Below are 27,168 nucleotides of genomic sequence, written 5' to 3' on the forward strand. Positions count from 1 at the left end.
AGAGGAACATGTCATTGGAATCCAGAGGAAAGCAATCCTTGTTGTAATGTGGCAAAGAACCTGGCTAAATTATCTTTGCATTCTAGTGTTTTGCAGAAGATAGAATTTGTGAGTGATAAAAGTGGATATTTAGCTGAAGATGTTTCTAAGCAAAGTGTTGAGAATACCAAGGGTGTGGCCAAGCAACTGTTTGTTAAGGAGATTGGTATGGGTGTGAAACACGGACCTAATCAGTACTCCAGCAAGAACACTGCCAGTCTGAACTGAAGGAGATGAAGGTGGGGGAAAATGAAGAAAGTTTCTCAGACTTCTTAGAGGCTACAGGACAGGATGATAAAGCTATTCAATAGCCTTGTGCTGTTCTAGAAGATGGGGGAAATGGCCCCAAAGACAGTTCAGAGATTATCAGGGACATCATCTCAGCTTCAACAGGCCAAATATCCTCCAACTAAAGCCATGATGGTGAGGTCACCTGGAGCCATGAGAGCACAACCCTACCTGGAAGAAATTTGAAACCAAGATCCTCGTGTGGTAGAGCCCTTGGGGTTTAGCTTCTCTCTGACAGAACCCTGGGGGAGAGATCACCATTCTGCAGAGCCTTTGGGCATAACCCCCATGCAGTAGGGCTGGGTGGGCACAAGCCCTGCTCAACCTAGCCACAGCATGGATGGATCTCTGCCAAGCTGTGGGGGTGACATTTCCACTCCAGTGGTCCTGGAGGGCAGAGTATCAAACCAAAAAGGATTATTCTAGATTATTCTTGAGCATTAAAGTCTAGTGGAATTTGCCGTGATAGGTTTTGGATGTATGTGGGACTCATCACCCCTTCCTTCTTTCATTTTTCTCCCTTCTGGAATGGAAATATCTATCTTATGCCTGTACCATCCTGTATTTTGGGGCTTGGAGGCCATTTTGGGATATGTTTTGTACTGATATATCATAGTTGTACATATTTTGGGTACATATAATATTTTGATATATGTATACAATGTGTAATGATCAAATCAGGGTAATCGGGACATCCAACACTCAAACATTATCTTTTTTTTTGTATTGGAACATTAATATTTTTCTTCTAGTTATATTGATACACAATAAATTATTGTTAACCATAATTTTCTTACTGTACTAATGAGTACTAGAACTTATGTCTCCTATCTAACTATTTTTGTACCGTTAACCAACTTCTCATTATCCTCTCCTCTTCCTTTTTCTTCCCAGCCTCTGGTAACTACCATTCTACTCTCTACTTCCATAACATCCACTTTTTTAGCTCCCAGATAGAAGTGAAAACATATTAGGCATTCTGCCTAAATTCACATTTAATTATGGGATAGCAAACAAGGCATCAACATAAATAAGAGGAGATTCAAGTTAACAACTGCAAGATATCAGAGCTGAATTTTTAAGCTCTGAGAAACTTGGGCATAGCTTCCTTTTTATTGCTTTTTAAATGTTTATTTATTAATAAAAACTGCTTGTTTTTACAGCATAGAAAAAGAAAGCTCAGGCTAATTTAGTTTCACATATTTGCTTACAAAAAAGAAAGTAGAAATGCATCCATTCTTTAAATGACCAATTTCTATATATTGTAATTAGCCACCTTTGCTGAAATATATAGTTTACATGATGTTGGAAAGCTGATATTCTACATATGATACCTTATGAAGACCAGGACTCTGTCCCCTCCACCTGTGGTCCTAACAAGTTTGGAAGGAGAAGATCATTTAAAGAGAATGGACAACATTCATCTGAAAAATTGTGTACAGCAAAATAACAATTGTCATATTATAAATTTGAAGCTCTGCAAATCTACTCAGAAAATTCAACTTTCAATATTTACTCCAATGTCCAATAAAAGAACACTATAAAGTTATTGCAATATATTAAAAGCCAAAGAAAGATAAACTATATCTATTGTACCATATTGTTGCAGTCAAGAAAGGGTACTGATATATTTTGGAATTATATTTAAGTAACACTTAAAATAAAATGATTTGAACATCACAGAAGATGACAAAATAAGAAGTTCTAGGAACTGGTCCTGTCACAAAAATAACTACTGAACTGGCAAGAACTGTCAGAATCAATCATTTCAGAACTCTGGAGTGTAGCAGGACACTTTCAGCTTCCAGAGAAATGCTTGATGAGGAAAGATACTGGAATACAAGGAAATTCCTGTCAGGTCACTGGCCGCAGAAATATTAGAATAGAGACTTCAGTAACCATACATGATAAGGAATATAGTCTTTGCAACATTAGTTGAAAAAGTCATTAAACAAATGGATGATTGCAGTCTTCAACAAGCAGCAACAACAAACCTTGGGGTAGGAGGAGAATCTGATTTCTAGAATTATGAAATTATATACAATGTTAAATTCTCAGCAAAATATTATAAATCTTACAATGTAAAGTATGGCCCATTCATAAGAAAAAGAAGACACTGACAGAAACCATTCTTCAGGAAGCCCAGAGAGCAAATTCCAGACTTACTGGACAAATGAATATGTTCAAAGAGGTGAAAGAAACCATGTGCAAAGTAGTAAGGAAAATCAGGAGAATGATGTATGAGCAAGTTGGGAATATACGTAAGGAGACAGAGATTATAAGAAGGAACCAAGTAGTGCTGGGTGTGGTGGCTTATGCCTGTAATCCCAGCACTTTGGGAGGCCAAGTTTGGTGGATTGCTTGAGCTCAGGAATTTGAGACAAGCCTGGGCAAAAAAGTGAGATTCTGTCTGTATTAGTCCATTCTCACACTGCTAATAAAGACATACCTGAGACTGGGTAATTTATAAAGGAAAGAGGTTTCATTGACTTACAGTTCAACATGACTACGAGGCCTCAGGAAACTTACAATTATTGTGGAAGGGGAAGCAAACATGTCCTTCTTCATATGGCAGCAGCAAAGAGATGTGCCAAGCAAAAGGGGAGAAAGTCCCTTATAAAACCATCAGATCTTGTGAGAACTCACTCACTATCATGAAAACAGCAGTGTAGGGGTAACCATCCCATGATTCAATTACCTCCCACAGGGTGCCTCCAATGACATGTGGATTATAGGAACTAAAATTTAAGATGAGATTTGGGTGGGGACACAACCAAACCATATCACCATCTCATATATATATATATATATATATGTATAAAAATTAGCTGGATGTGGTGGTGTGCAGCTGTAGTCTCAGCTACCCAGGAAGGTGAGATGGGAGGATGGCTCGAGCCCAGTAGATAGAGGTTGCAAGAAGCTGAGATTGTGCTGTTGCACTCCAGCTTGGGTGACAGAGCCAGACCCTATCTCAAAAAAGAGGCAGAAGCAGAAAAGGAGGAGAAGGAAAAGGAGAAGGAGAAAGACAAGAAAGAGGAGGAGGAGAAGAGGAAGAAGAAGAAGAAGGAGGAGGAGAAGAGGAAGAAGAAGAAGAAGGAGGAGGAGGAGGAGGAGAAGGAGAATAAGAATACAAATTGTGGAGTTGAAAAGCACAATGGCTAAAAGAAAAAAATTCACTAGAAGGGTTCAATAGCAGATATAAGCTGGCAGATAAAACAATCACCAAACTTGAAAATAGATGTCTTAGTCATTTCAAGCTACTATAACAAAATACAGCATAGATTGGGTGGCTACCTATTGGGTACTATGCTCACTACCTGGGTGATGGAACCATTCATACCCCAAACCTCAGCATCATGCAATATACCCATGTAACAAATATGTACATATACTTTCTGAATCTAAAAAAAAAGTTGAAATTATTTTTAAAATCCTATCATAGGCACCAAGGTTATAGAGTCAGTGAGTTGTGGAATTAAGACTAAAACATAGATATCCTGATTCTAAGTCAACATTTCTTAGAATTAAGCTGAACATGAGTTAAATATATCTGAGTCAAAGAGATATTCAGTAAGAAACTTGTTACAAAAGGAGAGGAAATAAGGGGTTAGTGTCTATATAAAAGGAAGCAAGATGGTGGGTTAGAGAGAATTCTAAGGTATTAGAAAAAAGTTTCCTTTAAGTATATAAGTTAAGACCCTGAGAAATATTGCTGAAGTCCACATGGTAAGAAAAAAACGTCACAGGCCTCATTGTGACAGGCAGCCTGAGTTAGGATTTGGATATGATCTAAAATCAGGAATGGAGGCAGACAAATGAGGGCCCAAATCTAACCTCTTCTTTTTAGCTTTGGAATCTTACACAAGTTAATTCACCACTAAAGCATTAAAGCATTTAGTTTCTCAATCTTTACAATGAAGATAACAAAAAATATAAAGAAAATTGCTGATAGGGTTTTGAGCAATGATGTAAGGTAACATTTATATATGTAGTACCCAGCAGAATGCCTAGTATACTATATCTACCAAATATATGTTAGTTTCTGCTGTTTTTCATAAACTTTTCTTACTTGTGGTCAAGAGCATGGAATCTTAGAACCAAACAGCATATCCGTAGAATACTTTTGGCAACAGGTAATAGAAAACTCCTTAAACAATAAAGGAATTTATTGGCTCACTAAGTGCAAGTTGTAAGGTAGGGTTTGCTTCAAGATTGGTTAATAAAGCACTTTAATAATGTTATCAAGAACTTAAGTTTTTTCTATTGTTTACTCTTCCTTTCTGAGTATGCCTGATTTCCTGATGTCTGTGGGATAGCTGTAGTAGCATTCGCGTCTGGTCGGTGACAGAGGGTGCCTCTCCAAATCACTCTCCAATTCTGTGCAGTGTGAGTAACCCAAATTAGGTCACATCTCCTTATACGATAACTGTTGCTACAGGAAAGCCAGGCTCTGATTAGTTTATGCTTTGATTCCTGAACCAATCAACAGCAAAGAGGATAGAATTGTCATGATGACCAGGGCCTACTTTGGAGCTGGGGTCAAATTTGGGTGTAGGGAGTCAAACCTGATGTCCACTACTGAAAACTTGAACTCCAGAACTTACTTGCTGTATCCTTTGATAAGTCATATAATTTTGTTGAAACTCAACTTCTTTATCTGCAAAATGGGAGCTATAATAGAATGAACCTTCAGGATGTTTTGAAGATAAATTGAGATACTAAAATAAATTTGAAAACAAAAGGCTCTGCAGACTGTCTGACATGTAGTAAGTGCCCAAGAAATGTTAACTATTATTAATATTATTTATTCACCTATATAGTTTTGCATTATATAATAGCTATTTTTAAATGATCTGACTTTCTGGCTAAAGTATGAGTTTTTTGAGGCTGTGAACAATATTGTTTTCATTTTTTAATCTACAAATTCTTACATATAATAAATGTCCAACTTATTTCTTTAACAAATGAGTGAATAAATGATGTCTTTTGAGTGAATGAATAAAGGCTTTCAAACAATAGAAGGTAGATTTAAAAGAAAGACAATAAAATGGTAACGATGGATCACATAACAAACAGGATATGGGAATAAAATGGGCCCAACTGAGAGAGATTATATTTGAGAAAAAAATAATTCCAGACATAGAGAGGAGTTTTCTCTGAACATTAGAGTGGTTATAGGAAATGAACAAATCAAATATAGTTTGAATTCAGGGTATGCAGCTCATAAAGATTATGATGTCTTCAGATATTTTGTTTTTGTTTTACAATTTGATAAATAGGCCGGACACAGTGGCTTACACCTGTAACCCCAGCACTTTGGGAGGCCGAGGCGGGCGGATCACTTGAGCTCAGGAGGTCAAGACCAGCCTGGGCAACATGGTGAAAACTCATCTCAAAATTACAAAGAATTAGCCAGGCGTGGTGGTGTGAGCCTGTAGTCCCACTTACTCAGGAGACTGAGGTGGGAGGACCCCTTAAGCCCCAGAGGCGAAGGTTGCAGTGAGCAGCGATTGCGCCATTGCATTCCAATTTGGGTGACAAGGTGAGACTCTATCTCAAAAAAAAAAAAAAAAAAAAACAATTTGGTAAATATTTAGATAAAACCCAGAAGAACACCTACTGTGAGCTAGAAGAGGTAGAAGAATAATTATAATAAGAGCTGCTAGATGTTTGATATGTTCCAGGCATTGTTCTAAGTGTCTCTGTTGTTTAAACTCATGTAATCCTCAAAACCAACTGTTGAGATAAGTAGTATTCTTTTCATCCCCATCGCTATTTACAGATTAAAAAACTCAAGCCCAGGTAGGTCAAGTAACTTGCTGAGATCACACAGATAGTAAACAGCAAAATTGAGATTTTTTTTTTTAAGACAGAGTCTCACTCTGTTCCCCAGGCTGGAGTGCAATGGCGCGATTTTGGCTCACTGCAACCTCCGCCTCCTGGGTTCAAGTGATTCTCCTGCCTCAGCCTCCCTAGTAGCTGGGACTACAGGCACCTGCCACCAAGCCTGGCTAATTTTTGTACAAAATTGAGATTTTTTTTAACCCAAAGGATAAAGACACTAGACTCCTTGGCTTTAACCATTACACTATACTGTGTCTCTAATAAAATAGAAGGGTAGGCAGAGAAGCCAGACTGCAATCCCAAACCACCATGCACTCAGGAGTTAAACACATGTTGGTGATCATGAGGAGCACCGCAGGTCTCCAAGGCCACCAAGAGCCAAAAGGCATGGCCAGCAGTTCGTAACATGTGTGTTCCCTCTAACCCTTATTTTGCACTTTGTTAATCTGCGGCATATAACACAATGGCTGTGGAGGAGGCAACTGAACAAACATTTGTCCAGTGAATGAGCGTGTGGCTGGATGGTTCGGTGCCAGTATGTATGTTGTGCTCACAGTATATATGATATGCCAGTATATCTGATGGGCCAGTATAGATAATGTGCTTATTTCCTTGGCAGACTGACCTCTTCATGCTTCCATATTTGGTAGATTGTCTTTAAAAATTTAAGGACAATTAAGTTTTCTCAAAATGAGACAACTTGCCTTGCAATAACATTCAGAGTAATGAAAAAGAAATGTAGAGATAATCCATGCTTCAGAGAATGCCCTGGGAGTTGCAGTGAATACAGAATTGTGTGTCCCTTTCCAGGGAGTCTTTCAGGACTGTTGCTGACCTATAGAGAAAAAGCACAATAGCTGTCAGAATGAAAGGAGAAGCTAGTACAGGCACTCTCTAAGGGAATTAGAGACTAAGGACTATCAAACTACCACTTTCCTCAAAAGGAATCAACAAACAGTCAAACAAAAACAAAGTCATTGCTAGGAATTTTTTTGGTTGTGGCTTAGCATAGATCTGCCTTTGATCAGACTTTAACTTGAAATTCCTGAATATACCCCAGTTCCATGCACCCTGATGCTTCTATGGCGAACATTCAAAGGAGTCAGAACTCCCACTCTTTCTAGATTGCTGTAGCCCACCAAGAGTTAAGTTTCAAAGACCATATATAAGCCAGAATACAAGTTTCAGATTCAGCTGTACAAATAAAGTGCAATCTTGAAACACAGTGAAGATGAGTGTTGAGGTCTTTGCATTCAAAATTTCTCTATTTCTAGTATTTCTATATTCTCCGTTGTAACTATGCGATTTCATCTCTTGCTTAGAAAGATCTTAGTTATAAACAATAAATAAAATCAATTTTTCCTTCTTTCTCTATGCTAATTTATCATCTATGAGGAATGCTCCAGAAGCTATTTTCATATTTAGTAGATACTGGTGGAAGATAAATTATTTGTAAGTTGAATTTTTAAAAGGAGCTTTTAAAATATCACTGTACTTACATACTCTTATAAAGAAAATATCTTTAGCTTTCAGTCTCTGAAGGAACAAAATCAAAACTGCTTGAACAAGTATCCCGGCTGGAGGAAAAACTGGAGGCTGTGGACCACAAGGAAGCCAGTGGGGGACCATATGAAAAAATGGTTCTTGTGAAAGACCAGGTATGTTGTAGAACAAAGTCATCTTTATTTTAAAAGTTACCTAATTTTATATGAATTGACAATCCTGGAAAGCCATTTCAGTCTGGATTAAAAGTCGTATTTTTAAGTTCATAATGGTAAATAACAATATTTGTATTTGCTAAAAGTAATTTTATTCCCTGGCAAATATTGAGATAAAATTTATTTTGCTAGTAGTAGTTTTAAAGTTTGTTTGATATGTAACCCTTTGAATAACATTAGCTGAATATTCTATTTATTTTATAAATGGTATTGACTGTACAAATGTCTCTTAGTTGTTAATGTTGGAGTGTTTCTTTCTGTGGAGTAAAACGAGAGGCTCATAACATTTGGCATATGTTTTTTAATCAATTACTTTATAAGAAATGATTAATCTCTGAATATCTGAGCATTAAAATATATATCATTATGTAAATTTACCTCTTGTTCAATCCAAAGGGTTTGCTTTTGGAATATATGGATATGATTTCATGTGAAGGTATATATATATATATATATATATATATATATATATATATATATATATTTATTTATTTATTTATTTGTAAATATATATATATTTATATGATATAGGGGCATTTGCATTAACCGTAGCACATCAAGCTAACATTATCTTACTCAGGCATATCCTAGTTCTTAATATATTTGTGTGTTTTTTCTTTGGGTTCTTTCATAGAATGGAAGAGAAATAGGAATGGGGGGATGATTTCTCCAATGATGGTTTTCAAAACGTAGCTGAAATAATGCTGCCATTCACGAGATTTGAAAACTGATACACATTTATGTCTGTAATACGTTGAGTATGTAAAAGAAAGAGTTACATACTTAGTTTCTAAACTTTTCTCCTTTTCAGTGCATCCAGAAATTGCAAGCTGAAGTAAAAGCTTCCCAGGAGCAACTTATAGCCCAGGTAAGTGTTTTCCTCCTTTTTTCATCCCTTTATTTATGTCATTGTTAGCTTGGAAATGAACAGAACATGGAAAGAAGTTATAAATGAGTTTCGTCTGGAGCAAACCAAATCACAAGGCTAAAAATGAGTATTTTTACTGCGTCTACACAGTTTCTTTTCATACATAAAATTCTGATTTTTGTGGATGACCAAAATTCCAAACTGAGCTCTTATATATAATCAGATGGTCTAATCAGGTGCTATCAGAAGAAGAGAACTGGAAACTTAGGACAGAAAGATGAAGAAGCCAGTCTAGTTGGGTGAGTAGGTGGAAGTGGAGAGATGTGGTAATTATTGACCCATCAGATAAAGGTCTAGAGCAGTTCTTCTTAAACTTTACTGTATGTAAGAATCACCTGATAGCTTCTTAAAACAAATTACTCAGATTCTGTTTCCTGCATGCCTAGGTTGGGGCCTGGGAATTTGCACTTTTTGGTGATTCTAGACTCAGACAATGCTGATGCTGCCAGTCTTCAGGACACACGTTAAGTGACATTATTTTTTATACATTTTTTATACATACATATATATATTACATATATTTAATATATATTATTAACATTAATATTGATTTTAGGCAAGTGACCATATAAACCAATCAGACTACATAGTTGCCCATTTTCTCCTGCAAGTACTCGCCTGAGAGAGACCCCATGAATTTCTATGGCAAATTTCATTTGCACACTAGCCTATGTTTACTCTGAGAACAACACATAAGCATCTCCTGCCACAATACCCTGTGTGTCCATGACCATAAATCTGTCACCCTGCCACTATTCCTTCCCAAGGATCTGAACAACCCAAATGCCTTAGACATCTCCTCAAAGACTTGATTGCCATCCTTTTGGTCATCTTTTTCATCCACATCTTGGCTGCTATGGAATGACTTCTTGATTAAAGATACTGACCAGTCATGTTAATGGCCAATCTTAACTACACCAGGCCCCTCAGACAGACCTGAGACCTATGAGGTTGCCCTCCAAAAGACTGCAAGATAATACATTCTGGTGACCATTCCTTTGGGGTTTGGAATGAACTGACTTGGGTAAAATATTGGTAATTGTCCCCATTTTTGTGCTAGAGAAGAGAAAAGCTAATCTGCTGTGGCAGTTAGCAGAGCTTTTAACTCTAAATTCAGAATCTTTTTTGGGCTTGTATGTTCAATTGTCCAATATTGAAAATGACTAAGGCTTGCATTTGTAGCATTGTGACATATTTAGACAGAAATATGTCTCATTAGCCAGTATTTTGTTGCAGATGCCTTTCCCCTGGTCTCCCCCTGAGGGTGCCAGATAATGACTATTGTCAGAGGATGTCCCGTCACGACATTTGATACCCACAGTCATTCACATGGAAGAAGCTTTTAGCTCAGAATTTTATATGGAGGGCAAATGTATTCACTAAAGCTCAGATATTAGCTTCCAGCATCTCTTTGTGAAAAACAGATGAAAAAAGCCATAGTTCCTGGTGCCTTAGGGAAATTCCTATAGTGTCTTCTTTCACTGCCTAGTTACTATGGATGCTATTCCTGTACCATGCTGTTACTGCTTGAGACTTGTCTGAACTAGAATTGCTTCCCTGTATTAGGGTATTGATACCAGTGACTGAGATTTCTCATATGTAATTGTCCAACATTCAGGTTTCAATACAACAGTGTATTCATGAAAGTTTTGCTTCAATGTGTCAAGAAAAACTTAAATGAAAACAGTATTAACGATAGTATTTATTGAAAGTGGATTATGTATTTTCTATGTGGAAGATATTTCACATATCTATTTTAAATCTCAACACAACCCAGCAAGGTAGTCATTAATTTTCAGAAAGAAAATGGAATCTTAAAAAGATTAGATCACTCGTCACACTCTGAAACCCATGATTTTGCTATTACAACTTGCTGTCTCTCCAAATTATATTCTCTATGTGCCATTTGAGGTATCAAATGGTGTTTATAAAGGTTCTATCTCCAACCTCCTTTTCTCTTTCTGTTCACTTTTGGTGATTCAGCAGTTCATAATGCTTCAACTCTCACTCCCATGCAGACAAACTGCCTTCTCCCACAGCAAGTTCCTTCTATCTTAAGCCTCCCCTGATTAGAGATCTGTAGTGTTTTAATGAGCACTTCTTAGAACATTGTCCCTGAAAAAAACATTCCATAGGATGCTAAGAGGTATTCTGAAAAAAAAAAAAAAAAAAAAAAAAACAACAACAACAAAAAGTAGGAAGACTGTTGGAAACAAAGTTAAATGGGTTTATTTCCTGCAAGAGTTATCCATGTACAAACAATCTCCAAGAACAGGCTGTTGTTGGTCATTTTTCCAAAAGAGTTTGATTATGAATGGTGATTTGTAACACACAGGTTTAGAGATGGCTGGTACACGGCATCAAACTGAAGTACTCTGGTTCTTAAATATGACCTGAATATCTTGCTGACACCTCAGGCTAAGAATATACAAAGCCAAATTTATCATCTTCTGTTATTATCTCTTAAATATGTTTCTCTATTCGTATCCCCCAGCCATGGTGGATAATATCACACTACTGTTATTTTTTCTAGATTCAAACTACAAAGCAGTTTTAAAATCCTACCTCTCTCTGCCTCTGTCCTACTTTGGTTAGTTGTCAGGCCCTGAATATGTTTCTACAAGTTATCTCACTTCCATGTCTTCTATTCCATTATACTGCCACTTCTCTAGCTCTTTTTAATCGTCTTATATTTTAATTATTGTAACTGGCCCCAAATTGTTAACATATGTGAGTGAATTCAGAGCCCCCCACAACCCCACTCCCCGTTACAAGGTAGCCCACTTGCTCTGGCACCATCAAGCCCTATTGAGAGAAGAGAGAGGATAAAAATCTGTGTGTAAAGATTTGGAATGGGTGCAGAAAACCAAACAGAGCAAAAGTGTAACACTCACAGGGTGAGTGTGATCTGCTGGCGTGGCAGAGAAGAGAAAGGGGATTTAAAAACCAGGGTGGTAGGAATGGAACACTGAAGATGGGGTGAGGGTTCTTCTGGAATAAGAGATGAGAGTTCTGAGGATGCTGAAGATTAGGAAATAACTTGAAGTATTAATAAGAGTTGCCTGGCAAAATATGTACTTGAACCCCTTTAAGTGAGAGTCCCATGGAAAGTTTGGAATTTCTGTTTGGAGTGTGCCTCCTTAATGTAACACCTGTGGGACCTGACCTCTATAAGAGTCTCCTGGTTTCCGTGCCTCCATCCTGAGTGAAGTTTCCAAAGCATAGTCCCTGCCCCTCATCTTCTCTTCTCCCTCACTCCCCTCTCTCTGCCTTACACTGAGCCTACTACTAGAATGGAGCTGCTATCTTTCTTTACATATCCAGTATTATTTGATGTTCTGTGATTTTGCTCACAGTATTCTCTTAAACTGGAATATCCTTCTCTCTTCTCTTCATTCAAATAACTCTTTTCTGTCCTTGCAAGACTCAAGTTATGTACCAACTTCTCCCTTAGTCCCCAGATTATTTTCTGTGGGTCCCCACAGCCTCCTTTAGATACATCTATTTGAGCTGTTAAAGTAAACATTGTAGACAAATTAAATTTAACAGAGTTCATGTGAGCAAAGAATGATTCCTGAATTGGGTAGAAATCAGAACCAGAAGAGGTTGAGAAAGCTCCATCCAGCAGCATGAGTAGCAAGCTTTTATAGGCAAAACACAGAAGCAAAGTAAAGACATTATCTGTTGGCTACCTAAGTTAGGTGTTTGCCTTATTTGGGTGTGGTTGGATCAGTTGGGTGCCTGTGATTGGCTGAAGCTCAGCTGTTTGTGACTGGCTGAAACCCAACTATTTGTTACAAAAAATATACTCCTAAGTTAGGTTTCAGTTTGTTAAGTAGGAACTCAAAATAGGGAGAGAACCTCAGGCCAATGGCCTCCTGCTTATTTAACAGAGCTCAATACACTACACTTTGTTGACATTATCTGTTTATATATCCGTTACCCACTAGACTCTAGGGACATTGAAGGCAGCACTAAGAATGTGTCTCTGAATGCACTACACCCAGTACAGGGCTGGGTGCATTGTAGCTACTCAATACATTTTGCTGAATTGCATTGAATTTTATTCTGATCATGTCATTTCCTTAGTTCCAAAGCCTTGAGTGAGACATTGCTTGTCCATTATCCCAGAATAAAGTCTAACCTCCTGACCATGGCATTTATCATGTTGACAATGGGGACCTGACCCCCTTTCCTGCCTCATCTCCATCTCCATCTGCGACCCCCAAGTGCACCCTGCATCTCTGCCCTAGCAGCTTTGCTTGTAGCTCCTTGCTACCCTGAATGCCTGTCCCTGCCATTGAGTTTGCCAGACTTTCCCCATTCTTTATCAAGATTGTTTTTTCCACGAAGTTCTCCCTATCAGTCCAGAAGTAATCTCTCCTTCTTTGGTGCGTTCACAGCACTTCTCTGTGCCTCTTTTCAGTCATTTGTCACACTATGCCCCACAAGAGAATGATCTGATGCAGCCTCTTTCTCAAGACTGCAAGTTCCTGGAGGAAGTATGTCTGTTTATCTTTATTCCTCCCACAGTGTCTGGCTCGATGTCTTGTACAGATTTTATTGAAATGAATTGTTAAAGTGGCTAAATTAAAAATAAAATTATTTTGGCATTTGTAGGAGCACCCTTTATATATCAGGGAAAATCACTTTATGACAAAGAATTGTATTCTGTGAAGATGTCAATATTACATCAGGCATTAATTTAATGAGGCTGACTCTTTCAAATATAACATGCAAGTGACAAAAGGTAAGGATCTCTTAGAGTGGAAACAGAAGGAAAAAAATAGCAGAGAAAGAAAACACAGTTGCTGGAAATTCCTATTTCACGTGAAATAAAAAGAGTTTCTAAAGGAAACATGGTCTTAACATGAAAATTAACAACGTAATGTCTTGGCTTGCTTTTATTCAGAGTTCACTGCTCTAGAACTCAATAGTTGAATAATATGATTGTTTAATTAAATTGATAGCTATGAAATGGAGAGGAGATGAAAGCCTTAACATTTCAGAGTTATCATTTGCTAATACTTTGAAGATTAAATTCTCACCCCATTAAATTTACTGTGCCTAGTCACAACTTAGACTTCTAAAGAAATTATTAAGGGTTACCCCTCCCAGTGCACATGTGGGCACCCAGGCTGAGCCATCACCGGGCTAAGCTGCCCTGGGCATCTTTATCACTCCCTCCCATGATTACTTATCCGCTTAAAGACCTACATGGGATAAAACAAATATTTGAAATGAATGTTTATAATTACTTAAAGATATCTGTTCTTGTTAGGGCGATTTGAGTCAGGACTAGGTATCTTAATAAAAAATTCCTTTTAAAATTAATGCCTTCCAAATTATGGAATCCATATGTTGCCTGTGTTTAGTATTAGCGGGTATAAGTGCTTAGCCCCATCTGTTCACTCCTTCGTGGATGACCTGAATATCTGCAGTACTCCAGATGTCTGCCTCCCCTCTTTACCTCCATCCCAACGGCCATCCCATCTCTCAGTTTCCAGCCACCCACAAGACCTGACCAGGACCAAAAGCTCTATAATATTCAATGGGTTTATTTCAAAATGGAAATCTGGGTAATTGGGTGGTAGGCACTCAAGTGTGATGTTATTCTCTATACTGTCCTGTATGTTTGATACATTTCATAATAAACTAAACAGTTAAAAACATCCAGATGAAGGAATCCTTCAAATGAATCGTACAGCATGCTTAAAAGTGTAGGACAGATGAGTGAATTTTGGAAACCAGAAGATCCTGAACCACTGAGGCCTGGAAGCTCAGGGTGAGGAACTCAGGGCATGGGAGGCACCCAGGACGGGGGTCTCCCAAAATGCTGGTTTAACTTCCTTTCCTCCTACAAAGAAGCTATAAACTGCCATTTTACTTTCTAAATTAAGAATCTGTAAGAGCGGACTGCTCCCTCCTAGAATTCCAGGCCCTCTGCTAATTGACTTGTTCTTACCATAACAGAGGACATGGCCTGTTTCCTTGGGTTTGGTTCTGTTTTGTTTTGCTGCCTAAGCATCCACTGACACACCTTTGGCAATAATACCCAGATATTCTCTACAATTGCATCTCTCCCACTATGTGCAATCTTCCAGGGCCTGTCATTCAAAGAACTCTGTCAGCTACTAGCTGAGGAGTGGACATGTGCCAACTGGACTCTCTCTCCAGGGACTCAGCACATTAAATTCAGGTGAGGAAAGAGAGAAAAAACAGTTGGAGCTGGTACATTCTACCAGGGATACCCAGGCATCATGGTGAAGTAGCTTATGCTGCTTGAACCAGAACTGTCCTAGATCCTCTCCATTTCTGAGTGTGTTTCCTACTGATTTTAGGAGGTACCCCCAAACCCTCCAATAAATTCTCTTTTTCTTTAAGCTAGCCAGAATCAGAATCAGTTGTTTATAACTGAGAACCCATCATTCTTCTTTTATCCCAGTAGTTCTGAAAATGTGGCTCCTGAACCAGAAACATTAGCATCACCTAGGACTTTGAAATGCAGATTTTGAGGACTCATCTCATTCTGCTAAAGTCTGAAATTCTGGGAAAAGGATGCAGAGTTTTACAAGTCCTGTAGGTGATTGTGATGGTGGTAAAATCTGAGGTGTACTGCACTGTCCAGTGAAGCCCCTAGCACTTCCAGCATAGACCCTTACTTTCTGACCAGGACATTGTCCCCGACCAGCATTTCACAGATGAGGCTGGCCTCACGGGCCTCATGCTCCTTGTGCTGGGATACCTCTCCAGCCTGATTCCTAGTGCAGTGCCGGGGATTGAGACATGGAGACATGCAGTAGCACACAACACATGTCTGTTCAACTGGTGAGTCAAATGAGAACGATCTTCCTGCCCTCCCTCTCCCAGTCCCACACTTCTATGTGCTCTAGAAGCATCACTTCATTCCTGATGCTTGTCATGACTAATTCTACTGTAAAGTGACAGCAGTTAATCACACCTTAGAGTCACATAACAATATACAGCTTCCTAAATGCTCCCACCCACATCATGTCATTTATATTTCACAATAATCCTATGAAGTAGATATCACTCCCCCTCCTTGATCAGCAGAAGAAAGTGAGAGTCAAAGACACAAAAATCCCTGCTCACAGCAAATAGCTGGTATGTAGCACAGCAGACTTGCGTGTAGATGTTCTGATGTAAAGCTCCTGTTTTTAAAGCCGAATTTCACTTCTAAGTCAGTATTTTTGCTGCATATATATGCCAATGCACAGATGCCAGCTGTGGCAATAAATTAATTTTAATGATCTTTTAACTTTATTTTAAAATATCATATGGCAGACTCAGACCACATGGCAGAGTTAATCAGTGGTTATAATAGAGTTCTACCTGTGCCAATGAGGAATAGGGAAATTCCTTTCCTGCGGGCCATTCTCTTAGTGCCACATGTACATTAATCTAAATGGAACATTCCTCAGTGATTATTTATGAACAGAAGCAGGTGGTACTGAATGATTGCATGTGAGATAAATCTAGGAAATATTTTTGTTGCATGTGTTCATTATATTAAAATGAGCCCCTCTCTGTATCCCACCTTCTTTGGTTAGATTATCTGCACTGGATGATTATTTAGCCCCTCATTTTAACCCTTTATGTCATTACCCCATGGCTCATCTTTCCCATGCTGAATCTGGAAAGATTGAATATCATAGAAGAATAGCAGAAGCTTTCAAATTCCATTAGTGGGTCTTGCTGCCAAGCTTCTCTGTGCGCTCAGAAGAGGAGGGGTTCTGAGCTCTCTTCACATCAGCAGGTTGCTCCTAACCTAGATAGAATCAGCACTCTCTGAACTATGATCCACTAACAGATCCTGCCCAGTTAGATGTGGTTAAGAAGCTAATCTGTAACGCATTGAAGCAATATTCAAAATGAAACTTTGGAGCCCCACCAGGATATTATCTTTTCTTTTCCCCACCAAATAGCCAATGCACAATAAATTGCTCTAGAAGCCACTAATTAGTTGTTGGCTTTACTAGTGAGGACACACTGAGGGACAGAGACCTAATGTTTGAGTTGGGTTCATTACATCACACAAGGACCCTGGCTGGCACCCAGGAGGCTTATTTTCCCCTTTCTGATCAGATCTAAGTCCTGTTTCCTCATTTTCTATAGACGATGAATAAGTTTAAACTGAACAACCACCTGTACCAATTCCTGCCACACCCCCCACCCTACCGCCCCCAGCTACCGTTGCAGGTGTCTAGTCTTTGCTTAGCTATTTGATTGGACACAGGGCGTAGACATTTTTTATAAATACCTATTAGCTAACCACGCATTTCTTCAAACATGTATTTCAGTTTCTTACTTAATAAGCTTAGACTTCTCACATCAACATTCTATCAAAGGAATATACAGATTTTAGAGGTTCTCATATTCAAATACAGATCAGTTACAATCCCTATTTACTTGCTGAAAAATCGGATGGGAACAATGTAAGACAGTCTCAGCTCTTCCCCACTCTGATCCTGAGCCACATTTCTCTATATAAAACTCCAGCCATTGAGGCTCACCCAGAACTCATCCTTTACTATTACTGTAAGAATCTAATAGAAATCATATTTTTATTGTTCTTAAAAATTTAAATTACTTTAAGAAGACTGAGAGGCATACCTCTCCATTATAGAGAGCAGAAAGATGAGCTATTTATGCGAATCATGAGGGGTTTTAAAAGTCCTCTGGTCCTGCGGCCTAATCCCTGCCAGAGAGGAAGACAGCATTGGGGAGTGAGACACTGGGCTAGACCTCAGCTCTGATACCATCTGTGGACCTGGCAAAGGTTACTCTACTTCTGTTCCTTCTGTCAGTAGAAAGAAGCTGACATTACTTAGCCCCATATAGTTTTTTGGAGGTTACGTAAAGTTGTGAAGTGAGATAATTCACATGAAGTGGTTAGCAGAGTGCCAGAACATAGTAAGTGTTCAATAAATCTATTAACAGGTTATTCTAAAATTGAGTTATCCCTTACAGTAACTGTTCCCCAGTTTATGAGATTATAGTTTATAATTCTATGGAATAAGGCACCTCATGTTAGCTGCCTATTTATTTTATAGACAATACTAGGAAGTTTATTAATTAAAGACAAAATTGCTTTCTGAAGAGAATCCTGTCATGTCCTGTCAGGTCAGTACTTTCTCGGCACATTTCTTTCCATGGTCAATGTCTTCTTAAGCCTTTCCCAAAGCTATCTGCTTGTCATTTAATTGTCTGTTTCTTTCTTTATCCACCATTAGATTATAAGCTTCTTGGGGGTAGAGCCTGGGTCTAGTTCACTGTGCCTTCTGAGTACTAGATTGTCAATTAAGTATTTGTTCAGTCAATCAGTTGTTCAATCAGTCCTTCAGTCAATCAAAGGATGAGTGGATAAATGAATGTGGGTAGTTCTTCAATTCAAGAAATATCAAGAAAATCATTTCCAAAAGATTTCTGTTCTACCCCTAACCCAGCTGGCCATTTCAACCAGAGAGCTCTGTGCTTCACTCCACTCCTGGGCTGATCAGGAGTCGATATTTGAGCTCAATGCTTAGCTTTAAAAAGCTTAGGTGAAAAGAAGCAGGACTATCTAAATATAGTCCTTATTTTCAGATATGTAACTTAAAATCCTTCCTGAATTAAGTGAGATCAGCAGAGAGCCACATTCCTAGACTTCAGCAAGGTGCCCTAGAGCTACTTTATTGAATGGCAGGCAGGAGGGGGTAGTCTGATGTTCATGACGTACTGTGGGAGGATTTTATAAGAAACTGCCCTGTGAAGCTTATTACTGTGTTTACTGTCAGGTTATTATTGAGGACATTTATTATTCTATTAGGTAGTATGCCTTCCTGCACCAGTAATGTTGCTGCTTCCACTGAGCGCTGGGCTTGATTTTATTCCATGGATGCATTTTTGTTTTTATAAATGGTTATTTTGACCATCAGAAAGACTACAGCCAACTTTCGCCTTACCTCTAACAAATGAGTATTTTATGTTAGGGCATGAATTGTGTGAACCTTCCCTCTTGCCCCATTTTACTTCTCTGCCCTTAAATTCTCTTTATCACATCTTTTGAGTTCTTATTTTAGTGGCTTCTCACTTAGTATATCTACCTTTTTTTTCAAGCTACACTAAATCCTTTCTGAAATGTACAGTCTCAAAGTAAATCAATGAATCCTAAGGGAAGTAGTCAGATCCATATTGACCCTAAGTGGTTCTTCCAGAGTCAGTTTCATGGACTGTGGATTCAGTTACATAATTCTCACTTAAAACCCTCAGTGGCTGCCCATAGGTCTCCTGATACTCTCCCGCTACCTTCTACTGCTAGTTGACACCCAGTGATGGTGCTCGTTTGAGGACTTGGAATTCACTAAGAATTCCTCTAGGTTCAGGCCTCCATCCCTTTGCAGAGTGAGTCTTTCCCTCTGCTCCATCCACTACTTACTTTCAACAACTGGCACTCATCTCCCCTAAAGGGCAAGCCTTTCTTGACTTCTCAGTAAGAAGCCAACCTCTCCTTGTGCATATTCCATGGATCTCTTTTTTGCCTTTATTCTACTCCATTAGTTGAGTTCCCCAGGTTCTGGGACTTGGCTTTATTCATATACAGTTCTTGACACACAGGAGGTGCTCAGTAAATACCTTGTTCAATGAATGAGAATGGAGTAAGTGAGAGAATGTATAAATGCCATATACCTGGATTTAATGTTGATTTTTAAAAATGAGCAAAGTAACAGCAGTTAAGTGTGTCTCTCTATAGCAAATCGTCCAAAAAAGATACTAAGAGATTTATTTGTAATTTTATCTTATTTTCAAAAAGAAAGAAAATCAAATAAAAATTTGCATCTCAAGGGGATACAGCCTGTTACTTTATGAATGTTAAACTTTTGCTGTTCTCTTGATACAATTTTACACTGTCATTAAATATTAACTATAATGTTTAATTTAACCATATTTATTTATTTATAGTCTAAGTTCAAAAAGGATCTGAGATTGTTAATAAGATGCAAATGTGTGAAATAGTTGTATTTTTAAAAAGCACTTAAAGAGCCATAATTGAGAATATATATTTGAATAAAATAGAAATATCAGGAAAAAAAATAGAATACACATATGTGAGTTCTAACTTCCCATGCAATATAGCTGAAACATAAATATGGCTTTTATCTTTCTAACAGCCAAAGGCAGATCAAGGAAAATGATCAAATAAATAATTAGTGTGTTGGGGGGGATGCTACCATTCATTTCTGTTGAGTTAAGCCTAAAATGAGATTCTATGTTGAATTTCATATAGGGAATATTGAAAGACATAGTGAGGGGAACACTCATGAACATATCAGACCAGCAAATGTAATAATTGGTTTTATTTGGCTGTTTCTGTAATTTCCATCAAAAGAAGCCAAGGACATAACATGTAAATAGTTAATCTTTCCTTATTGTAATTCTAGGCTAGCTAGTATTGCATATAGTTTTAATCCCCAGCTATTTATGATAATCCAGCTGGCAAAGTCTACTGCAGTCGAAGGCCAAGTAAGTAATGTAGAAGAGGGAAGATGGTCAGAACCAGTCATATGGGTCTGGAGGGTGCCTGACTCACATAAAAAGGAGAATAAAGCCCAAGATCACTAATTTTTCAGACAATGAAAATCCAGATTTTTGGTGTGAAATCTTCTCATTTGTAAATGTTTTCAACTGATTTGAATAAAACAGATTGCTCTGTGTGGCAAACAAAATACATTTATTCATAGCCTAAATATGAGCCTTACACTGGATTTTACATTCAGGCTGCTATTTTCTTACATCTGTTCTACAATTTGAAAGATGTTCTCCAAAAAAGGCCAGGAATAAGTGAAGGAGAATTAGGTATTGTGGTGGTTGTTTCAGCCACTTTAAGTTTGCTAGTTAGATAATGCTAGCTTTTGTAACACATAGATCCCAGAATTTCAGTGCTTACCACAATAGAAGTTCATTTCTTTCTCATTCAAATAACAGTCCATTGTGGGACTTGCTGGTGGGCAGACTCTGCCCATTCATTGTTATTTAGTGTCATTCTGTGATAAAAACTGTTGGAGCCTCTGCTGTGCTCAGCATGTAGGATCCAAGGTCATTTTGGGGTCATCTCTATCCCAATTGGCCAAAAAAGAAGAGATTGTTGAGGTGTGGGCTTGGAAAACTTCTAACTGGTCATACGTGGAAGTGGTGCATTGGTTAGAACTCAGTCATGAGACCACATTAATTACAAGGAATGCTAAAAAGGGTAGTCTAGCTGTATACCCAGAAAGGAGAGGGGAATATGGATTTTTGTTAAGCAGCCCTAACATAAAATACTCACTTGTTAGAGGTAAGGCAAAAGTTGGCTGTAGTCTTTCTGATGGTCAAAATAATCATTTATAAAAACAAAAGCGCATCCATGGAATAAAATCAAGCCCAGCACTCAATGGAAGCAGCAACATTACTGGTGCAGGAAGGCATACTACCTAATAGAATAATAAATGTCCTCACTAATAACCTGACAGTAAACACAGTAATAAGCTTCACAGGGCAGTTTCTTATAAAATCAAATCTGACTCAGGCTCCATGTGTCATGTGTTAGCAGAAAGTTCAGTTTCGGTCATTTGGGAGGAAGGGTGGTCCTCTCTCCCTCCTGGGATTTGCAGAAGTACCCCAGTAACTTTACTTGCCAAAAGTTGGGGCCACTAACTTCTAGTGGGTTGTGACTTTCCTTCCCTCTGCTCCATGTCCATGCCTATGGGCCCATTCAGAGCCTTGTGGCTCTTTTTATTCAGTGCTAAGCTTTAACAGAGGGTTTATGGCAGCTCCTGGTCTATATACAACACTCAGCATCAGGCCTCTTTACATATAATTGCCTATTTCAGGTCTTATTACCCAAAGGACCTGTGTACAAGTGGAGTACGCTCTCTGCTGTCTTAAGAACCCCCAATACTTAATCTGCTCTAAATTCTGAAGCAACTTCCTCCCCTTAGGTTTTTCTACTTCCTTTTCTTTTTCAAAGCACCAATCTCCATTCCCTCCCTTGTTGGGGCATTTTCAGGTTGTTTTATTAATGAGACCAGGTTTCCCAACCAAAGGCTTTCCAGATGCTCAAACTCTACCACAAAAGTTAATTTCCTCTCCTTGCATAGGAGTTGGGGGTAGTGTTGGTAATGTAGTAGCAGCAATTCCTCTTTATGAGGAAGTTAATGTTTTAAGGCTGAACTTACTTGAAACTTAAGGGATTTTTTTTAGAGGGTTGTGTACTTAGTAATGCTTAGATAGGAAGGCTTAAACAGAAATGCTTAGACAGAAATATGTGCTTAGATAGTTGAGTCAAAATGTGATATATTTTTATTTATTTTGTTCGCGAATGTGAAGAAATACTAAAATTATTAGGTAAAATAAAATCAAAGCTGTAAGCATTAGTTCTTAGCACTGAAATTGACTTTGCCTACTCTTTCACCTGTTAGATATCTTTTACTCCCCAGTGATAAGTTTATTATCATCAGATTTACCAGGTGGTAACATACATAAGAGGAAATGTGAGTACCTACACCAATAATCATGATACGTGATAGAGTCATTGGCAAGGTCTGAGAAGAAAAGGGAGACTCAATAAATGCCTGTCTCTCCTCTCCCCAGCCTTTCCTCACACTATACACACCCTCCATACACACTGCTCCCTGCCCCAGTAAATTGGATGAGTTGACTAAATATTTAAGAAATTCTTGAGTATAAACTGCATGTATAGAACATTTTCCCCTCTGAACATTCAAGACAGACTGCTTTGGTTTAGAGCCCAGCTCTACCAGTTACTAGCTGAGTGTCTGAGTAGATTGCTTGATCCTGAGGCTTAATTTCCACGACTGCAAAATGGGGATACTAAATGTATCTAGCTCACCGATTTGTCATGAGGGTTAAATGTGTTAATTTTTATAAAATCCTTAGACTGGTACCTACAACACAATCAATTTTATGTAAGTGCTTGCTAAACAATAAAACAAAACAAAAAAATAAAACAACAAAACCAGCATACATTTCCATGTTTTGCTCAGTGGTAAGTTTTAACCACATTCTTTGTGAGAGAATGCTCTGAATGTTCAGCATCGTGATTATCTGTAAAATGGAATAATGGTAGAACCTACCTCAACAGGATTATTGTGAGAATTAAATGGGATGACACTGGTGAAGAGCTGAAAGTGGTCCTGGGATATAGCCAGCCCTCATTAATGTTGATGGTGATTATCAGTGCATCGGTGCTGCTGCTATTGTTGCCTTGTCCTGACCCTCATTTGCTACATATGCTTTGACATTTATCTAAGTGTTTAAAAGCATATATTTTTTGGTACCAAATTCCATTTTATTGATTTTAACTCTTAATTATTTCACTGTCTTCAAAAAAAATACATGTCCCTGTTGAGCCCAAGATATTACTCACTCATTCTTTCTGTGCACGAGGAGAGCATGTAGGAGACTGTTTTGTTTCTGCCAAAGGAGGAATTAGTACGGGGCGTTTCTGCTCACCTTCACTTGAGTAAGAACACAGTGATTGCTTTAGGCAGAGGTCAATGCCATGGGGAATGGAAAACTACTGCCTACGAGTTTTGCAACTGAAAAAGACAATCTTTGATGTTTCAAGGCAATTCTGACCACACTCTTTTTCCTCCACCTTTGCTGCCCTAACCTTTACTTTCTCAGCTTCCTGGAGAATGCCCTCCTACCTGTTTATCTCTAACTCTTGCTTGACCCCATAACCAAATGCCCCAACTGGGAATTTTTATGATGCATATTTCCTGTGCTCAGTGCTAAATCAAATGCAGCTGATTTTACCGTTTCTTTGACATCCATTTTTGGATGCATGTTCCTGGAGACATTTGTGTCCCTTTAGAGTGGGAGCCCGTGCAGGGCGGAGAAGGGCCTGATGGCACACACCTTTCCATGAGGCCCTTTTGACGTTACTGTTCACCTTCCTCATTGCGGGGGCCCAGGATGGGACTTAAACTGTCCCTATTTCATTATGTTGTTCTTTTTCTGCTTTAGCCTTTCCACTCTCAAATTCTCTTGTCAGGAATTCCTCTAGAAGCACCCTCAAGGAAATTGAATGAAAAAACTCAGAATTTTTGAAAATTTAAACAAGTAAATTTTTGTATAGTTTCCTAAAAATCATTGAGGATATCAATACCCTCTTTTGCAAAATAAAAAAGGAAATTGTTTCTAGCTTTAAATTTTATTTAAAATTTAAGTAACTGCTCATCTGCAGTTTTTTATCATTTGTAGTGTTTCAAATATAAATAATTCTATGTTTTGCCCAATCTCTTCCCTTTCTTTTATGTGCCATTTACTGAGGGCTGACATAAATCCCACTGGGAGACTACAGAGAGTAAAAAGCGACCTGGAAGAGTTTGCTTGAGCCTTTATGACTGAAAAGTTTTGTCATAGTCTCAGAATCTGTAACAATACTCAGTGACCATATTTAAAAAAATGATTCAGACAGACTTGTTCAAGCAGATGTGATTTCTGCAAGGATAGCCAGGTCAGAGTCCACAAATGGTTTAAATATGAATCATCTTAAAAAACAAAGAAAAACTAAAATAGTAACTCTACACTTCTTAAACTTTTTCCATTAAAAACTCATGACAATATTGTGTTATAGGAACTAAGAAGGACCTGAGCTTCTCATAGAAAGGATACCAGTAAATCACAAAATCCAAGAAGAGGCAAAGGAATGTAAAACCAAAATAAATAGTTATTAATTATTCATTCTTCAACTATTTTTACTGATCCTCACAAGCCAGTTTCTCATCCTTCAGGCTTAGTGGGTGCAGGGAGCCTTGGTTGTGAATTGCTATTGTCTGTCCTCACAGAAGAACTGGTTTAGAGGAAGGATTAAAAGGAAAAGCAGGAGGAGGTTTGGAGGGTCAAACAGGGAGGCTGCTTCAGGAGTAGGGGAGAATGCAGACGGCAGTAAGGGCAGGAGTGGGAGCAGGAACAATGTGAACAGTGAGACTAGAAGTTCAGTAGAGGGAATAGTCGGAAATCAGAATAGGAGGCGTTATTCTTCTTTGTGGAATTGCTAATAAGAATACAGCTAAATGTTTGCATTAAGCATTAAAAACAAGTTATGTCCAGTTTGAGCCCATGGGCATGTTTCCCCCTCAATGCTCTTTCCCGCATAAAACACACTTCCCCAGAGTGTGGAGCTCAGGAGGTAACCAAAGTAACCAAAGAACTCTGCCATGGTAACCCTTGCAAGGCTGCCATGTTGAGTTAAAGTGATTGTTGTGGATAAAAGCTTCACTGAATGGAAATGGAGGGTTGAGATTTTAGCCTAAACAGTAGCATGTTTAATGCTTATAAATGTGTAGTTTTTAGTTAATTGGAATAGCTAAAAGCTTAGTTGGGAAAAGACTCAGTAACATTTTGGGAGATCTTTCTATGACTTCTCCAAAACTGTGTTGCCCGAGGAATTTACTTTGCCTTTCAGCCCTGGATCTTAGAATAAGAATTTAGACTTTAGAATGACTTTCCAGCAAAGCAATCCCTTGCTGGTTAGTTTCAAGTCTGACATGTTTGGAAATTTGTGCCAATGAAATTCTAGCTGCACAGCTCCCACTGTTCTCCCATTCATGTCCTACGTACCTGTGTTGTCTTAAACATTGTTGAGGGTAAACAGTTGTTTTCAACATCTTCAGTATGGCGAATTTTTAAAAATATTTTTTAATTAGTTTTCTCTGATGGGTTTTTTTTATTTTTATTTTCAAGACAGTATGTGTTGGGAAAATTTCTGGCCTCAAAATATAATTCTTTGCACCTCTCATGAATAAATATTATGACAGAAGGATCTCTCTCTTTCAGCAATGACCATGTGTAGCCTTAAAAATGCTCAGTAGTAAGACTCTAGGCTGGTGTTTCTCTATCTGAAACTGTAGGTTCATGGGCATATTTTCAGATCTGTGTGGTGTATTAATAGACTGTGTGACCTGGGAGCTATTGTACACATCAACTTTAACATATTTTAGAAAGAGTCGATGGATATTTGTGTGCCATTTTCTGTTGACTCCCGCATAGCAGAGCAAACTAAATCTGAGGAAGATGGTGAAACGTCAGAACAGCAAGTAAAATTCTTCCTCTCTCTTGCTGGATTTCATTTAGGAGCAAGTGATCAAAGAGACTGAAAACCTGGAATCTTGAGGCTGGGTCTGTCCATTGGCACATTTGGGGATGATAGGGGGTGGGGAAAATCAGGTTTTACATGATTTCTATAAATTCACAGAGTTCCTGCATGGAATCTACCTTCAGCTTCACAGAAACAATCTTCTCTAAGCCTTCCAGATTGCCCACAGGAGTCTAAGGAGTTTCTTTAAAGAGAGATGTATGGGCTGGCTATGGCGGCTCACACCTGTAATCCCAGCACTTTGGGAGGCTGAGACGGGTGGGTCACGAGGTCAGGAGATCAAAACCATCCTGGCTAACAAGTGAAATCCCGTCTCTACTAAAAATACAAAAAAATTAGCCAGGCATGGTGGCGGGCACCTGTAGTCCCAGCTCCTCAGGAGGCTGAGGCAGGAGAATGGCATGAACCTGGGAGGCGGAGCTTGCAGTGAGAGTAGGTTGCACCATTGCACTCCAGCCTGGGCAACAGAGCGAGACTCTGTCTGAAAAAAAAAATAAAAATAAAAGAGAGAGATGTACAAGAAAGAGAATTTGTCAAAATCCATGACTGATTATATTTGGGATCAGGTGTTATTAAATATACAGTATGTATATAAAAAGTACAAAAATCACATATTTTGTCTCTAAAAGGTTTCATCCATCATTGGTTAGATAAAGCTATTAGACAATGTACTTTAAAGAAGTTGAGATACATTAATATGTGTTAGAGAAAAGTAATGAGGAGGGGAGGGGCTTATGATGGACTTGGCAAAGAAATCATGATTTGGAGTTAGTGTTCTGGAGAGAGTGACTTAGAAATCAACATACTGTTGTGTGGATAAATATTTTATAATTAGCATTAAACATTACAAAGGGTTCAAATTGCATCAGTAAAGCTTTTTAGAGGGAATTTGCTCATTGAACCATGAAAAGGGGGGATTTTCTGCAAAGGAGGCAGACAGAGATTTGCTAGGACCCTAAAGCTAATAAGCAAATTTGGGATAAGCTTGTACTTAGTTTAGCTTTAGTGGGGCTTCTAAGGTAGAGTCCTGTGATATCAGTCATGTTCTTGTTTTACAGAAATACCAGTTTAAGCAGAATAGGTATTAAGTGAAGGCCATGGCTAACTCTCACTCTCCAGGAGAGCCAGAGAACCAGATTTGGAAATGGAAGCTGAAACAATGGTCAAATCACACCACAGAACTTCCCCAG

General features: G+C 38.4%; 1 protein-coding gene across 12 annotated transcripts in view; it reads left to right on the forward strand.

Moving 5' to 3' along the window:
• CCDC192 (coiled-coil domain containing 192) overlaps positions 1–27,168 on the forward strand; it is a 239,292-nt gene that overhangs the window by 87,190 nt on the left and 124,934 nt on the right. For all 12 annotated transcript variants that reach the window (XR_948757.4, XM_017009806.3, XM_017009807.2 and 9 more), the window contains 2 exons: positions 7,698–7,829; positions 8,701–8,757. Coding sequence is in view for 11 of the 12 variants with exons in the window: in XM_017009806.3 (XP_016865295.1) it covers positions 7,698–7,829; positions 8,701–8,757 (189 nt within the window). In the remaining variant the exon portion in view is untranslated. The remainder of the gene's footprint in view (positions 1–7,697; positions 7,830–8,700; positions 8,758–27,168) is intronic.

Source organism: Homo sapiens, chromosome 5, assembly GCF_000001405.40.
Source record: "Homo sapiens chromosome 5, GRCh38.p14 Primary Assembly".
Lineage (NCBI taxonomy): Eukaryota > Metazoa > Chordata > Mammalia > Primates > Hominidae > Homo > Homo sapiens.